Source organism: Homo sapiens, chromosome X (genome assembly GCF_000001405.40).
Source record: "Homo sapiens chromosome X, GRCh38.p14 Primary Assembly".
NCBI classification, from domain to species: Eukaryota; Metazoa; Chordata; class Mammalia; order Primates; family Hominidae; genus Homo; species Homo sapiens.
Genome location: NC_000023.11, coordinates 129,562,879 through 129,579,695, shown reverse-complemented (window position 1 = coordinate 129,579,695; position 16,817 = coordinate 129,562,879). Strand labels below are relative to the sequence as shown.

The 16,817-nt window shown below is 38.7% G+C and overlaps 1 protein-coding gene across 3 annotated transcripts in view, besides 1 other annotated feature; it reads right to left on the bottom strand.

Annotated features, from left to right (window-relative positions):
* The window catches only part of OCRL (OCRL inositol polyphosphate-5-phosphatase), a 52,298-nt gene that overhangs the window by 12,861 nt on the left and 22,620 nt on the right, over window positions 1-16,817 (bottom strand). For all 3 annotated transcript variants that reach the window (NM_001318784.2, NM_000276.4, NM_001587.4), the window contains exons 13-18: window positions 13,813-13,924; window positions 12,333-12,442; window positions 10,297-10,432; window positions 4,446-4,556; window positions 3,634-3,799; window positions 3,144-3,379 (exon numbers count right to left, since the gene is read on the bottom strand). In NM_001318784.2, coding sequence (NP_001305713.1) covers window positions 3,144-3,379; window positions 3,634-3,799; window positions 4,446-4,556; window positions 10,297-10,432; window positions 12,333-12,442; window positions 13,813-13,924 — 871 coding nt within the window. The remainder of the gene's footprint in view (window positions 1-3,143; window positions 3,380-3,633; window positions 3,800-4,445; window positions 4,557-10,296; window positions 10,433-12,332; window positions 12,443-13,812; window positions 13,925-16,817) is intronic.
* Window positions 14,289-14,790: an enhancer, noted in NCBI's record as "NANOG hESC enhancer chrX:128698883-128699384 (GRCh37/hg19 assembly coordinates)". NCBI's record gives its function as "activates a minimal SCP1, AML or CMV promoter by ChIP-STARR-seq in naive H9 embryonic stem cells {active_cell/tissue: H9 hESC(naive)}" and the evidence as "EXISTENCE:reporter gene assay evidence [ECO:0000049][PMID:30033119]".

Sequence of the window (16,817 nt, the reverse complement as noted above, 5' to 3'; positions counted from 1 at the left end):
ATTCTGAAAAACAATAAAGATGATTACAAATGGTAGATTTTCATCCGTTTCCCACTTGTGCTAATCTCAACTATTCTAGGAGTGGCAAAGTCACTATTATGAAAAGGGCTGGAAGGATGAAAAATAATTATGTCAGTTATTTCATTCTGCATTTGGTGGGAAGATGGTGTGGCATAAGGATCTTTCTAAAACAGTGCATAAGGATCTTTCTAAAACAGTACATAGAGAGACAACACATACATTGAACTCGTTTCTGGCTTTACCAAAATTTTAGAGCAAATAATACAACAGAGGGCAGGTACCATTATTAACAGCATCATCTCATGAGATTTGAAATACGATATTGGGTCTTGGGGAAAAAAAACATGAATACTATACCTGAGGAATCATTTCAGAAGGTCAAAATCAAGTCACAACAGAGTGAGAAGGTATTAAAGATGGGATACTAATTGTTTTTAGATTTCTTGTTTACTGCTCCACAGTAATGCAGGTTGAGTATTCCCAATCCAGAAATCCAAAATGCTCCAAAACTCGAAACTTTTTGAGTACTGTCATGATGATCAAAGGAAATGCTCATTGAAGCATTTCAGATTTCCGATTTCCAGATTAGGGAAGCTGAACTGGTAAGTATATAATGCATATATTTGAAAATCTGAAAAAGATTGAAATCTGAAACACTTTTGGTCCCAAGCATTTTGGATAATGGATAATCAACCTGTATAGATAATTTCCTCATCAATGAGATACAGGAATTTAATAACACTGAAATGCAACAGACTGTGAAAAGAACCCTAAATCCTACAAAATAAAAGCTTTAAAAGAAAAATGATGTCCACACACATACAATTTAATAAAAACTCAGAAATTCTGTAATTAAAAATGATCAGGGTTCTATTATTTTAACCCTCAATCACTTGTGCACAAAAAGAAGGAAAAAGGCTTCCCAAAGAGCCATTCATTCCTCTAATGATTTTGGTTCCTTTCTGTTCATGGGCAAACATGGTAAAATTACCTGATAGTATACTTTACATAAAATAAAAACTTTATGAGGGTTGAGCCTCTTCTGGCCAATCCCAGAATATGAAAAACTGCAAAGTTTTTCATATTAATGGCTTTGCAGTTTTTCATATTAATGGCAAAGATATTCTAATATCTTCACTGACTCTGACTAAAAATAAGGGTAGGTTCCTGTTTACATGAAGGTGGAAGGAGAGAGTATAAATGGGATAAGTTTAAAAAAAAAAAAAACAAGAAGGAAACAACCAGAAAAATTTAGGAAATGGTTGACCCTTGACTGGACATTTGTACTGGACTCTTAAAAAAGTCAATGTCACTAAAGAAAGTAGGAACTGTACTACTCCAATAGAGACTTCAGAGACCTCACCAAATACTATATGAACCCAGATTGGATTTTGGTTTAAAAAAAGGTATAACAGAAATTCTTGGGACAACTGAAGAAATCTGAATATGGACCGAATGTTAAATGATACTATGGATTACTGTTAGTTTTCTTATACATAATAATGGTATTGTGCTTAAGTGTGCCCTTTTTGTTAAGAGATGCAGGCTGAAGTGTTCAGTGGTGAAGTGACATATTACCACTAAATTTTACATGACACAGCAAAAAACATCTGTGTGTATATATGTACAGAAGGCATGTGGGGGTGTGTTGTACTGTTCTTTCCATTTTTCTGCACATTTGACATTTTTCATAATAAAAAGCTGAAACAAAGAAAGCTGGGAAATAATGTCTGAGATGAAGGAAAGGGGGTAGGAGAAATAAGAAAAACAACTTCATCATCCAAAATGTATTCTAAAAGGTGAAATACTAAAATCTAAAAGACAGAAATATAATGTTAGGAGAAAAACAATTATCATGAAAAACAGCAGAACGGTAGGATATGAATTTCTGAAGAAAATGGTTCTCTCTCAAACAGAGGTAATATACTCAGTCATGAGGGCTCTGGGGAAATAAGTATAATTCCAAGAAAGAATGCCGGGGCTGGACTCAGTGTTTTAATCTGCTATCTGAGTCACAGCTAAAACAATTCCATGGCAACAGAACAGATCGGACTCAGACAAGCCAGCAGCCTGCCTGCTGGTCTAGACCTCCCTGCTAGATACAATCACTCGCTCTGGCTAGGCCTAAAGGATCCATGTGAATACTAATGGTAAGGATAACGTATGCTGTCACCTCACCTAATTTTCTTTGGTAAAAAAACCAAGAATATACTTTTGTAGCCCAAAGAGATTCTGCATACAATCCAACAATATTTTCATTTAGAAGGAAATTTCTTAATACAATGAACTTTATTACTAAATCAACTTATGTTACTGAAGATAGTAAGTACTTCCTTCATAAAAACATTAATATTATAGCTTGGCTTGAGGGAGAGGTGGGAAAATCAACCTCCTTTTCTTTCTTAAGCACATCACATTAAGTAAGTATCAAATTTCAATGTACATTATAAGCATCTGGAATGCGGATAAAATGCAGATCTGTAGGCTCCATATCCTGAGATTCTGATTCCATTGCCAGAAGTGAGGGTACCTGTAATAAGCACCCCCAGGGATTCTGATTCAGGTACTCCAGGGTTCCAGGATAGTTCTATGCTTCCATAAATAGCAAAGTTTTACTCTGATTAGATATAATGTGGTATTAGTGAGGAATACTAAACTGGGAGCCAGGAAATCTGGGTGCTAGATTTGTTACTAACTGATGGTATTTGACTCTGGGCACGTCAATGTCTCTGTGCCTCAGTTTTCTCATATGCTCAAATGAGGATAATTCTGCCTGCCCCACTTAGCATACCTCACGTACATGCTAATTTATACAAAAGTGACTTGAGAGTATGAAGAGCTTAACAAACAAGCATTATATCTTTGAGAGGGGAGTCTTTAATCTTATTTGGTGAGCTTAGTATTATGTATTGTACTCACAACAAGAGCCAACTGCAGATTAGTCCCCCCTCTTTCCCCTTAGGCTTAATCTAATCAAAACAGTGCTAAAGTAACATTCTTCTTTATCATTTGACATCCCCCGTGGCCAAAAGAAGACAGAAAGCACAAAGATAATGAGGACGTCACTTAAGTATTGTGAAAATTAAATGTAAAAGAGGTTTATGTCTTGGGACAGTTCTTACCAAGTCTATGAGTTTGGTAACAGGAACTTCTCGGATTGGTCTTTTCATACGGCACAGAGCCTCTAAGGATGTGCCAAAACAACTTGGGAGGTAATTTCCACTGATAGTCAAGAAGTAATCTTTGCCTCGATCCAGGTGAAGGACGAGAATATCTTCAATCTTATCTTCTCCCGAGTTCAGGATGGTTACAGAGTCTTTGCTGACATACACATCAAGAGAAATGTCCACTGTCTCATCTGAAATGTAAGAGATGATACATGGTAATAGGAAAACCTCCAGTGGGAAAGCAAAAAAGAGTATAAGAACCAACAGAAAAGTGTCCTCTAAAAAAATCATTAAGCAATGAGGGGGAAGAGACAGGACACACACCAGAGGTATCACCAATATGACAGTAAAGGTAAGAGACATGTGGTTAGAAAACAGAAAGTTAAACCAAGGGGATGGGAGTCATGACATCACCAGCAGAGACAATGGTAAAGGGAAAACTCACTTGGCTCCAAGTAGCCCTCAAAAGGTTCAGCCCGAAGCCATGGCTTGCAGTACTGGCTGTCATTAAGTTTAGGGATGAAAGAAAAATGGCAGGGAACCTGTCCATTGTTGCTGATCTGGAACTTCTCCTTTTGTAGTTGCCGAAACTTCACATTTTCAAACACAAACTGGGGAATAACAGACAGACACAAACATGCATCACTAGTAGGGGAAGTAAGTCAGTTGGATTATTCCATAGAGGATATGAGGAGTAAGGTAATTGTTAAGCAGGTGTGCAAATGCCATAGACATTCACCAACTGAACCAACTTCACAACATCCACTTGCATGTATTATTATACTCACACCAGCAGAGAAGGAGTTAGGTGGCTCTTGCTACTTCTCCAGGCTACTCTGATCATTCCTAGGATCCTAAGAGGGTAACCCAACCTTGGTTCAGAGTATTCATCCTGTGACCAAGTCCTGGTTTCTGAGATATAAATTAACTAGCAACTCTGAAATATTAAATAAGAGCATCTAACAGCGGAGGGCTTACTATGTGCCGGGTGCTGTTCTGAGAGCTTTGCATGTATTAACTCATGTAATCCTTACAACTACCCCTTAATCCAGGAAAGGAAACTGCGGCTCTGAGCGGGTAAGATACTTGCCTGAGGTCATACATCTACTAAACAGCCGTGCTACAACTGGAATGGAGGCAGTCTGACTCCAGCGACATGGGCTTAACCACGTTGCTATGTAGCCTTTTCTAAGTAGCAGTTTCTTCTGTGCTAACCACAGTGAGCAGTAGACAGGGAGATCATGTATTTTTGCTCACCTCCCTCCTGCTGAGTTCTAAGGAAGGAAGGAAGTCATTTTCCATTCTGTCCATGATGCGTACACTATCTTCAAAGACTTTCCGGTACCTTCGTTCATCCACAACCTTCACCTGAAAGAAAATGTATCCTCTTTTCAGTCTTATATCCTTCTAGCTCATCTCCCTTGGAGATTATCTAACAATTTAAAACTGGTCATTACAGTAACTATTTAAAATAAACTGTGGTGCAAACAACATCCTCAAACACTCTCTATATCTTGCTTCATCCACAGCTTGCACCTGAAAGAAAACAGATCCTTGCTTTAGTTTTATGTGTTCTCAACTTTTATACCTCCAAGAGTCTCTAACAATTTTTAAGGTCACTAAAGCAAACATAAATTGAACAAAGCATTATAGAAGCACACGCTTTAAGGTAAAGGTAAGATTAATTGGCTAACGTCCTGTAAAAGTTAAACCCCTACGTTAAGAAGCTTGGTAATAATAAATATTTGGGAAGAATATTTTCTTGCTTCATTGTTAAGTTATTTGGTAGTGGAAAAAATGTGATAATTGTGGTAAAAATGATTGCTTGCACTGTACAAAATGACAGTGTCAAAACACAGCAATTACTGTTTCTAACAATCATAACTTGGTGAGGTGGCAGCAAATATTATTAAAAAGCTTTTAACTCTATTAGATTCTATGTACAATACCAAGAAGTATAATATCACTGCTCAGATTACATAATAGCAGAGATATATTAATAAATGGAACCTACAGCCATTTTAGAAAATGGCTGAAACAAAATGTCCTAGACTAGAGTAAAACCATGACAACGTATAAACACATCTCCACTGATAAAAAAATTTTCCACCTGACACAGCACTTTCAGCTTCCTGATATAGCTGTGTTTTTTTAAATATTAAAACTTCATACAAACCAATGCCAAAATTAACATAACTAACAGATTTTAACTTGAGATATCGGTTTCTTTTTTAGACTAGGAAATTTCACAAAAATTCATGTCAAAAAAAATTGATACATGCAGCAAAGGTTCTAAAAAGATGTGGAAACAGATGCTGGTGAGGCTGTGGAGAAGTAGGAACGCTTTTACACTGTTGGTAGGAGTGTAAATTAGTTCAACCATTGTGCAAGACAGTGTGGCGATTCCTCAAGGATCTAGAACCAGAAATACCATTTGACCCAGCAATCCCATTACTGGGTATATACCCAAAAGAATATAAATCATTCTACTATAAAGACACATGCACACATATGTTTACTGCAGCACTACTTACAATAGCAAAGACATGGAACCAACCCAAATGCCCATTAATAATAAGACTTGATAAAGAAAATGTGGTAAATATACACCATGGAATACTATACAGCCATAAAAAGGAATGAGATCAGGCTGGGCACAGTGGCTCACACCTGTAATCCTAGCACTGCGGGAGGCCGAGGCAGGAGGATCACTAGAGGTCAGGAGTTCGAAACCACCCCAGCCAACACGGTGAAACTCTGTCTCTACTAAAAGTACAAAAAAAAAATTAGCCAGGCATGGTGGTGGGTGCCTGTAATCCCAGTCACTTGGGAGGCTGAGGCAGGAGAATCCCTTGAGCCCGGGAGGCGGAGGTTGAAGTGAGCCAAGATTGCACCACTGCACTCCAGCCTGGGCAACAGAGCAAGACTCCACCTCAAAAAATAAAAAAAGTCATGTCCTTTGCAGGGACATGGATGAAGCTGGAAGCCATCATCCTTAGCAAACTAACACAGGAACAGAAAACCAAGCACCGCATATTCTCACTTATAGGTGGGAGTTGAAGAATGAGAACACATGGACACAGGGAGGGGAACAACACACACCAGGCCACTCGGGGTAGTGGGGCGAGGGGAAGGAGAGCATTAAGGTTAAATAGCTAATGCACGTGGGGCTTAAAACCTAGATGATGGGTTGATAGGTGCAGCAAACCAACATGGCACACATACCTATGTAACAAGCCTATACGTTCTGCACTTGTATCCCACAACTTGAAGTGAAATAAAAATTTTTTAAAATGTTGAAAATAAGAACATCAAAGCTGAGTCAAGTATCTCAGACTGGGGAAGTTTTTCACATATTTGAACTGTAACTCTTAGAGAACCGAGGATCAAACAATCACTTTACCATCACCAGGGTCCATAGTATAGCATTAGTTTAAGATGAATTTTATACTTTTACAAAACTTTGCAACTTTTAATTTCCAAAAGTATTTTGCACATGTCTTTTTATTTTCACAACCTGGAAGGCTACCAAAGCAAGGAATATTTTTGTTCCGATAGTTGAGAACATTAAGATACAAAACAATCAACAAACTTGCTCACTGCTACAGTGAATACCAAAGGTGACATCTGGACTAGTTTAAGACTCTTTCCAATATACTAGATATGTGACAGAATCAACTTGAGTATGTCTTAAAAGCACAGCTGCCTGGGTCTACTAATCACAGCCTCTAGGGGTGAGGACACATGCATCCACACTTTTTTTAAAGCTCTCTAAGCAATTCTTACATCCACTGAAGTCTGAGAACCAATGCAACAGATCACAGTACCAAGTGCAGGGTTGGAACCCTATCCTAGCTCTATCTCAGCCAGCCCACAGAAAGTCTTCTGAAATTAATTGGCCACGGTGCACTTGGCTCCTTTGTTAACAGTCATTGGTGCCAATGGTGGTGAAAATATAGTGTGGTTTTTAAAGCCTCTAATCATAGCATGCCCAAGAATCCAAAACATGGGGTGATTACTCAATAAAATCAAACTTTTTCTCAGCGGGTTATCATGATCACAGCACTTAATGGCAAATCAAAGATAATGAGGAGGGGGGGAACCCCAAAGAATTTCACAACCTGACACATCCATTTTAGTAAAGGAAATTACTGACAAAATTAGGAATTTGAAAAAAAGTACAATGAGCTAGGTCTTTATGTAATAAGATGGGAGGTTCTCCAAGACACACTGCTGAGTTAAAAAAAAAAATCAAGTTGCAGACCAACACATACATATAAGACCGTTTATGATATAGAGACACACACAAATCAGTATTTTGTCTATGAGTGAACAAAAAAGCATATACAAAGGTCTAGAACTGCACTGTCCAGTACAATAGTGACTAGCCACATAGGGAATTTGAATTTAAATTACTTTAAATTAAATTAAATTAGAAGTTCAGTTCTCAGTTGCACTAGCCACACTTCAAGTACTCAATAGCCCCCTGCTGCTAGAAGCCACTGGACTGGACAGCACAGATACAGGACATTTCCATCATCACAGAAAGCTCTATTGGACAGCACTGGTCTAGAAAGATATAAACTCCTAAGGGTAGTGGCCTGGCTGGGGAATGGGGGTTTAGGCAAAGTTGGGAGTAGGAGACAGAACAGGGATTGAAGAACTTCTGCCTTATCTGTCAATTCTGCTTAAATTTCCTTTTAATTTTTTTAAAAGCACTTGTCATTGCTGTATAATTTAAAAATCATTAAAAACTCAAAAGGCATATCTTTATTAAAGATATACATAAATACACAGGAAGCCTGAAAAAAAATGTAAATATCCCACTAGAAGCTCTGCATTAATGTGTATGGAGTATTAAAAACATCCCAAGGTTGGCTGCGAGCGGTGGCTCATGCCTGTAATCTCAGCACTTTGGGAGGCTGAGGCGGGTGGACCACAAGGTCAGGAGATCGAGATCATCCTGGCTAACATGGTGAAACCCCGTCTCTACTAAAAATACAAAAAATTAGCTGGGCGGGAGGCTGAGGCAAGAGAATGGCGTGAACCCAGGAGGCGGAGCTTGCAGTGAGCCAAGATCGTGCCACTGCACTCCAACCTGGGTGACAGAGCGAGACTCTGTCTCAAAAAAAAAAAAAAAAAAACCAAAAAACAAAAAACAAAAACAAACAAAAAAATCTGAAGGTTTTGAAAAGAAATGTAAACAAAAAAGCCAGGCATACCTGATCTAACCAAAGAGGTTAGTGTTTGAGGAAAGATACCCTCTCAAAATGGATTAAGAGAATTCAAATGAAGAAAAAGGGGCAGCCTGCAAGTACAAACTAGAAATTAGATGGGCTAAAAGAAGTTATCTAAAGGTATATTTCATCAAGTTCTATAGAATTATAGAGGTATTGTGGGGTAGTAGAAAGAGCACAGAGTTGGGAGTTAAGCCAACTTAAGATTGGAATCTCAGCTCTCCTCCTAGTTGAATGCTCTTAAATAAGTTATTTCAACTTGCTGTTCTCCATCTGCTCATCTGTTAAATGGGAAATACAGTTGTCCCTTGAGATCTGTGGGGGATTGATTCTGGCATGGCCTGTGTATAATCAAATTCACGCATACTCAAGTCCCACAGTTGGCCCTCCTTATACGTGGGTTTCACATCCTGTGAATACTGTATTTTCCATCTGCATTTGGTTGAAAATATCTGGATATAAGTGGATCTGTGTAGTTCAAACCCATGTTGTTGAAGGATCAACTGTATTTAACTCAAAGCGTTGTTGTGAGGAGTAAATGAGATGTGTGCAAATTGCCTCACATAGTCCCTGCCACACAGCCACTAGCTGCTATCTGAGGAACAGTTACTATTATTAATGATTATTATTTTAAAATTTCAAAATGGACAAAAGTAAAGTCATGATTGTCTTGATAAAATTTAAAATCTATTCTAAGACCAATAAATAATTCTGATCTTAAATGAAAAGCCCCAAAGTCTTTCTTCCTTAAAACAGGAGCAGGATAAAACAGGTTGGTGATATCTATCTCAGAAGCCCCCTAAATCAACACACACACAGAGGAAAGAAACCTATCCCATTATGCTCTTCACATGTCCGAACTCATTAATCTTCATGAGTATGTACCAATATTACCCACGCTTAATAGAGGAGGAAACTGAGGCATAAATATGTTACATAAATTGTCCATGGTTACACAGTTAGAAAGTGGTTGAACTCGGATGCAAATCCCAGAAGTCTACTACAAAGTCCATTCTACTAAGCACTGCACTATATACATTCTGACAGATTATAGGGCTGTAGATCTGAAAAATCCACAAGAAATAACCTAAATGTACTGGCTGTAACAAATTAAATCAGCATGATTACAAGATATGACCTACATACCAATAACACACAGTTTAAAAATACAATGGGAAAAAAACTTTACTCACAATACAGACAGAAAATTAAATAACTGGCCATTAATGCAGCCCAGGATAGAACAGAGTTAAAAAAAAATTCGCTGGGCACGGTGGCTCACGCCTGTAATCCCAGCACTCTGGGAGGCTGAGGCAGGGGCATCGCTTGAACCCGGGAAGAGGAGGTTGCAGTGAGCCAAGATCACACCACTGCACTCCAGCCCGGAGGATAGGGCAAGACTCCGTCTCAAAAAAAAAAAAAAAAAAAAAGAAAAAATAAGTGTAGGGATGACACTATATCCCTTAAGACAATATACAGAGTTGGCTGTATTCTGATCAGTCTGTGCCTTTGCTCCTGCTGTCTCTACCCTTCCACCCAGAATCTCCCTCCTGGTGTTTCCCTTCTTTACTATCTGATAAAACTTAGCTTTTAACTCTTCATTATGCATACCTACTTTAGGAAGCTCAAGTTACCACCTAACCACTATGTAGCATGAGAAACATCTGTGTCACTAAAAGGCCTGGAGCATTAAGAGCTATACGGACAGCATTTGGGAGGGTTGGGGGCACTAACCTCTCAATGCTGCAAATGGTTATTTGGTTATGGAACATTTATGGCTTGCTGAATTACTGATCTGTTCTGAGTCTAAATAATCCTCTAGTAATTGATACTTAACACACAAATAAATGAATGTACAAACAAGTGTTTACCCCAATATGGAAGAGGGCGCTAACAGGCTTGTGGTCGCTGGTTTTCAGTTCCATGTGACTCCGATAATTAAGCTGATTAACATTTGTTCCTCTCCAAAGAATTCGGTCACACCAGGCTGGAACCCGGCATTTCCCACTGTAAGTAAAGAAACGAGTTATAAAGAGAACATATCACACAAGAACATAATACCTACCACACTGGTTTAGATCAGGGTTAGGCTCTCTTGTTACATGCTCCCAAAGAACCGTGTACTTCTCCTTCCCTAACAACCCCTGTCATCCTCCCTACTATTTTGCAAGCTCTGTGAAGGGACTGTATTTGCTTGTTTGCCACTGAACTCCTAGAACCTAGCATGGTATCTGGTGCAAAGTAGGTGCTCAACGAATAGTTATCTAATGAATGAATGGTTCTGTTAAGATTGGGAGTACATCTTCAACAATGTCACCACAGGAGAAAATAGCACGTTCTTAAAATATCCTCAGAAGATTTGGATTATATTTTGAACACTTCCTTTTCCTTTACTCTATGAGCATCAACAACACTTCACAACAGATAGATAACTAATCAAGTCTAAAACTCCAATCTTCTCTTCCTAGACTGGGCTTAATTTTTGGAGAGGAATAACAGTATTGATTTCTCCTTTAAACCAGACATTTATGGACAAGTCTAGCTTCTTCTAATAGAGACGAAATAAAATCAAACCATGCAAGTCTGAGCAAATGTCAGTCCACAGAATACCAAGGGTAGGGAAAAAGAACCTATTCATCATTCTATTAAAAGAAGCAACACCTTGTACCCTGATCCAGAAGGTGACACAGATATTTCTCATCAGTAGCTCTGCAGCTGACTCTAAAGTCAGGTGAGTGAAACAAACATGGCAAAGTGTACAAGATCTAACAGTGTCACTTCATTTGCTGGCCAGTTACCTAGGAGCATAGGAATATCGACTCCCCACCCATGCCAGTACTCTCAGAGTTCAAAACAGCTGAACATGCGTGGGGATTCTTTCTCTTTCAAGTTTCTGTGCTCAGCCAGCTAGGAGAAACAGAAAGAAAAAGAAGAAAAGAAAAAGAAAAAAGGAAAGGAAAAGAAAAGAAAGAGATAGTAGGTAGAGGACAAATACTCACTAAGAACTTACTGGGGGCACTTTACTAGGATGATTAGGAAATCAAAAGGGTCTACTGGCCGGGCGCGGTGGCTCACGCCTGTAATCCCAGCACTTTGGGAGGCCGAGGCGGGTGGATCATGAGGTCAGGAGATCGAGACCATCCTGGCTAACAAGGTGAAACCCCGTCTCTACTAAAAAAAATACAAAAAATTAGCCGGGCGTGGTGGCGGGCGCCTGTAGTCCCAGCTACTCGGGAGGCTGAGGCAGGAGAATGGCGTGAACCCGGGAAGCGGAGCTTGCAGTGCGCCGAGATTGCGCCACTGCAGTCCGCAGTCCGGCCTGGGCGACAGAGCGAGACTCCGTCTCAAAAAAAAAAAAAAAAAAAAAAGGGTCTACTAAACAGTGGTTCTCAGTGTTCTCCAGCTGTGGCAGATATTAGGTCCAAGCATCAGTATTTTTTGAAGTTCTCTAAGGGATTCTAAAGTCTTTTAAGGATTGAGAGCTACTGGTGCTAGAAGAACCCTTCATGGCTTCGTTTTTGCCTTCTGGTATCCTGAATTAAATAGCTGGGTAGTTTGGGAAAAAAAATAGCCAGAACAGGTAATAGGTAAGAAACAAAGGCAAAATCAGGAAGGCAAAAATTTAAGCAAGTTTGCTGAGGTGAGAGAAATAAGGCACTGTAGGTAGCCCATAAAACTTCAACAATCTTGACATATAAGTAATAACTTCCCTAAGATAGGCTCACCTTTGAGTATAGATAAATGAAACACTCTTATTGTTCTATAATAGCACTGAGGCACTGAGCCATTAGGTTTATATATCTGCTTATGGCATGGCCTAAAAAATTCCTAGCCCCTTACCAATATGGAGGGTCAGAAATAAGATCAAGCCTTAACCTTCTCTGTGAGAAGGTTCTTATTACTTTACCTGGAATCCCACCGGTCTGTTTTAGAGTCATACTTATAAGTGGGGATGAACTTGATTTCCCCTTCATTGAAGTCAACAAAAGCTTTTTTCTGTGTGCGCTGAATATTTAGCTACAGATAGAAAGAAGCATCAAATAAGCAGGATAACACTATCTTAATATAAGAGATAATCAGGTTGATAAGCCACTGTTCCTATTTCAAAGTATCTAGTTCCACAACCTTTACAACTGTAGTGAGAGTACATAAATGAAATTTCTATACCTTATGAATTAAATCTCAGCATTCCCACAGCATCTAAACTCACCCTCAGATAGGATGCTTGTTATTAGCACATCACTATTCTTTTATTGCTAATAGTGGCAGAGGGTAAAATGGAAAAATGAAATCTGAATAATTGTAAGTTCCTTGGAGCTGGGCAGAAACCACCCAGCACAATTTTAATTTAAAGAAAAAGCACACAAATGTTGAATGAATAATTCTGCAAACCAAATTCAGCGAATAGTTTCAAATTGTTTTGAAAGATCCTCACTGAAATATTTTACCAGAGTTATATAAGACTCAGAATTTATCCTAAATGTACCCCTTTTGGAGGCAGAATAAAGAAAAAGCAAAGAAATTTGTCAGCCAACCACAACGTGAAGGTAGACATAGACAAGAATGGCTCACTACAAAAACCATTCTGCTGCAAATCACCTGAATGTTGGCTACGTCTGAAGGTTGAAAAGGCTCTCATAACGATTTAAAGATTATTCGAATGAAGTCAAAACATTTTCCTCCCTCAATAAGAAGCATTCACTTTTAGCAGCCAGTATCCATATGTTGAAGTAAAAATTCAAGTCACATGCCAGGTTCTGAGGCAAATTTACTGCTTCAAATATATGGAAACCAGGTTCTTGAATATCAGGTTTTATGTAAATGTTACCAACTCAATGCTTTTCCTGCAGGTTTTAAATACCAGCTAGCTTCAACTTATCATCTAGTTCCCATGAGCCCATAGCCTATGCTGTTGATCCCAGACAAACTTCTTTTCTGTACTTCCCAGTTCCCCTCACAGGGCCTCCCTCTTTTACCTCCAAGCTGTTCCTCAGCTTGCCAAGTAATCATAGAACAGTTTTCACTGTTCCATCTGCCAAACCACATCAACATAGCTGAAGGCCCACTTCCTCCAGGAAGTGTTCCCCAATTAACCCCACCCATTCACCAACTCATTTAGACAAATCTCTGAAATCTCTTAATGATAAAGACGTTTTGAATAAATGTTGTATTTACTTTTTATCACTAATGTTATCTTCCCTCCTCCCATCCAAGCACTTAATAAAAGTACTACAAATCTTGTATGTAGTCAATGCATCACTAGTCACACTGTTTTCACAAGACAGTAAGACGTTTCCATCACTCCCTAGAGTAAGATATACCTCCCATAACTCTAACAATCTCATCTCCCATCTAGGAAAGTTCCTATAAAATGAAACTTTACTTACCTGGTCGAATTTCAAGAGTCTCTGAAGGTCTTTCTTATTAATAAGACTTTTCACCTCATTGGCATCAGGCATGCAAAGTCTATAATTCAAATCTCCCAACCAAATGACAACCCTAAGGATCAAAAAAATGTATGAACAGAAGTAGCGATTAGCATAAAAAAAACAGAGAAGGATGGAGAGAAGAAAAATGGGTAGATTATTGATAAGGGCTCACTCACCACTATCTCACAAGGGGTTTAAAGTTGTAACTAATCCTTTGAGGGCAACTACTATCAACACCTGAGAGAGACAATGGATTACAAAATAGGTAGGAGAAGAGGACTCTGTACATGAAGAATGAAACTGGGAAATATTACGTATGGGATTTAGAAGCCAAGGAGTTAATGGACTGAGAAGCATGCAGTTTATTTGCTGGACAAGCTTCAAAATTTTGCCTGGCTGCTAGCCAGGTCTTTAGGGGAAGAGAATCTGAACGTTTTCTGCCTCTCAGAGTCCTGAAGTCCTGCAGGTTCTCCACTGAAGTCTGCATGGTCTGAGTGACAGCTCTCCGAGGCAGGACCCACTAAGAAAAGTAGGTCCAGGGCTCTCTAGTGAAGCCTGATTGGTCTACCATTGCCCAAGTTACAGGCAGGAAGGAGACTGGCATTCCATGGGATCCTCAGCTCCCAATAACAGCAACAGGCCCTTAGATGTGCTGAGAGCCCCACAAAGGGAGACAATGCAATTAACACATCAAAATGGACTCTCCTGTTGAGTGAGCTCAAGTTCCCAATGGGTCATTCTGACAATCTCAAATGCAACATGAAATTTATGGAATCTGGGAAAATAAATTTTTGGAATTTCATGGCAACTTCATGACCATACATTTTAAGGCCTTCACTTTACCACTGTGAAATAGAATTCTACATGATCCTAATTATTGAGACATTATGGAAAATAGTTGAATATCCCTACTCTTTCCTCCTCTTTCCCCAATGACTCTACTCTCTATATTAATTTTTTAAATTTTATTTTATTATTATAAGTTTTAGGGTACATGTGCACAATGTGCAGGTTAGTTACATATGTATACATGTGCCATGCTGGTGTGCTGCACCCATTAACTCGTCATTTAGCATTAGGTATATCTCCTAAAGCTATCCCTCCCCGCTCCCCCCACCCCACAACAGTCCCCAGAGTGTGATGTTCCCCTTCCTGTGTCCATGTGTTCTCATTGTTCAATTCCCACCTATGAGTGAGAACATGCAGTGTTTGGTTTTTTGTTCTTGCGATAGTTTACTGTGAATGATGATTTCCAATTTCATCCATGTCCCTACAAAGGACATGAGCTCATCATTTTTTATGGCTGCATAGTATTCCATGGTGTATATGTGCCACATTTTCTTAATCCAGTCTATCATTGTTGGACATTTGGCTTGGTTCCAAGTCTTTGCTATTGTGAATAGTGCCGCGATAAACATACGTGTGCATATGTCTTTATAGCAGCATGATTTATAGTCCTTTGGGTATATACCCAGTAATGGGATGGCTGGGTCAAATGGTATTTCTAGTTCTAGATCCCTGAGGAATCGCCACACTGACTTCCACAAGGGTTGAACTAGTTTACAGTCCCACCAACAGTGTAAAAGTGTTCCTATTTCTCCACATCCTCTCCAGCACCTGTTGTCTCCTGACTTTTTAATGATTGCCATTCTAACTGGTGTGAGATGGTATCTCATTGTGGTTTTGATTTGCGTTTCTCTGATGGCCAGTGATGGTGAGCATTTTTTCATGTGTTTTTTGGCTGCATAAATGTCTTCTTTTGAGAAGTGTCTGTTCATGTCCTTTGCCCACTTTTTGATGGGGTTGTTTTTTTCTTGTAAATTTGTTTGAGTTCATTGTAGATTCTGGATATTAGCCCTTTGTCAGATGAGTAGGTTGCGAAAATTTTCTCCCATTTTGTAGGTTGCCTGTTCACTCTGATGGTAGTTTCTTTTGCTGTGCAGAAGCTCTTTAGTTGAATTAGATCCCATTTGTCAATTTTGGCTTTTGTTGCCATTGCTTTTGGTGTTTTAGACATGAAGTCCTTGCCCATGCCTATGTCCTGAATGGTAATGCCTAGGTTTTCTTCTAGGGTTTTCATGGTTTTAGGTATATTAATTTCTTTAAAACTAATCATTTTCTACCACCACATCTACTCCTCAACACATCTCTGCTTCTATGCTTATTAAATCCCATTCTTCACTGACCTCTCTCTGCTGCCCCTGTTTTTAATAAGCACAGCCATTAAAAAGAATAATGTAGATCTATATATACTGGCTTGGAAAGGAATCCACAATAAATAGAATAATACAGTCTTATACACCAAGTACCTATGTGTGTGTTTGTATATGAATAGACAAAAGGCTAGAATAGTGCTATTTAATAGAATTATAATGCACCTCACAATATAATTTTAAGTTTTCTAGTAGCTGCATTTAAAAAGAAAAAAAACAAGTGAGTATCAATAAATTTCATTTTACTCAATATATCCAAATTATTTCAACATGTGATCAATATTTTAGAAATCAAGATATCGTACATCTTCTTCCTAAGTCTTTAAAATCCAATATATAGCTTATGCATACAGCATATCTTAATTTGGACCAGTCACTTTCAGGTACCTAACAGCCATATATGGCTACTGGTTGTCATATTGGACAGTACAGATCTAAAAGGCTACACACCCAACTGTTAAGAATGGTTTCCTTTGGAGAGAGGGACTGGCTAGGTAGAGAATAAGAAATGAGGAAATTTAACTTCTAATTTTATCTTTTATTACATTTGCAATGAATATTTCTATTTTATCATAAAAACAATAAAAACTGACTCCAACTACAGACCCTCCAGCATTATTCTAGGTGCCCCACTAATAGAACTATCTTTTCCTCTGATATCAAGTCTAATTTCTCTGCCTCAATGATTCTGTTATTACTCAAAAACCCTCTCCTTTGTGACCCCAATCCCTCACTGGTAATCTTTCACTC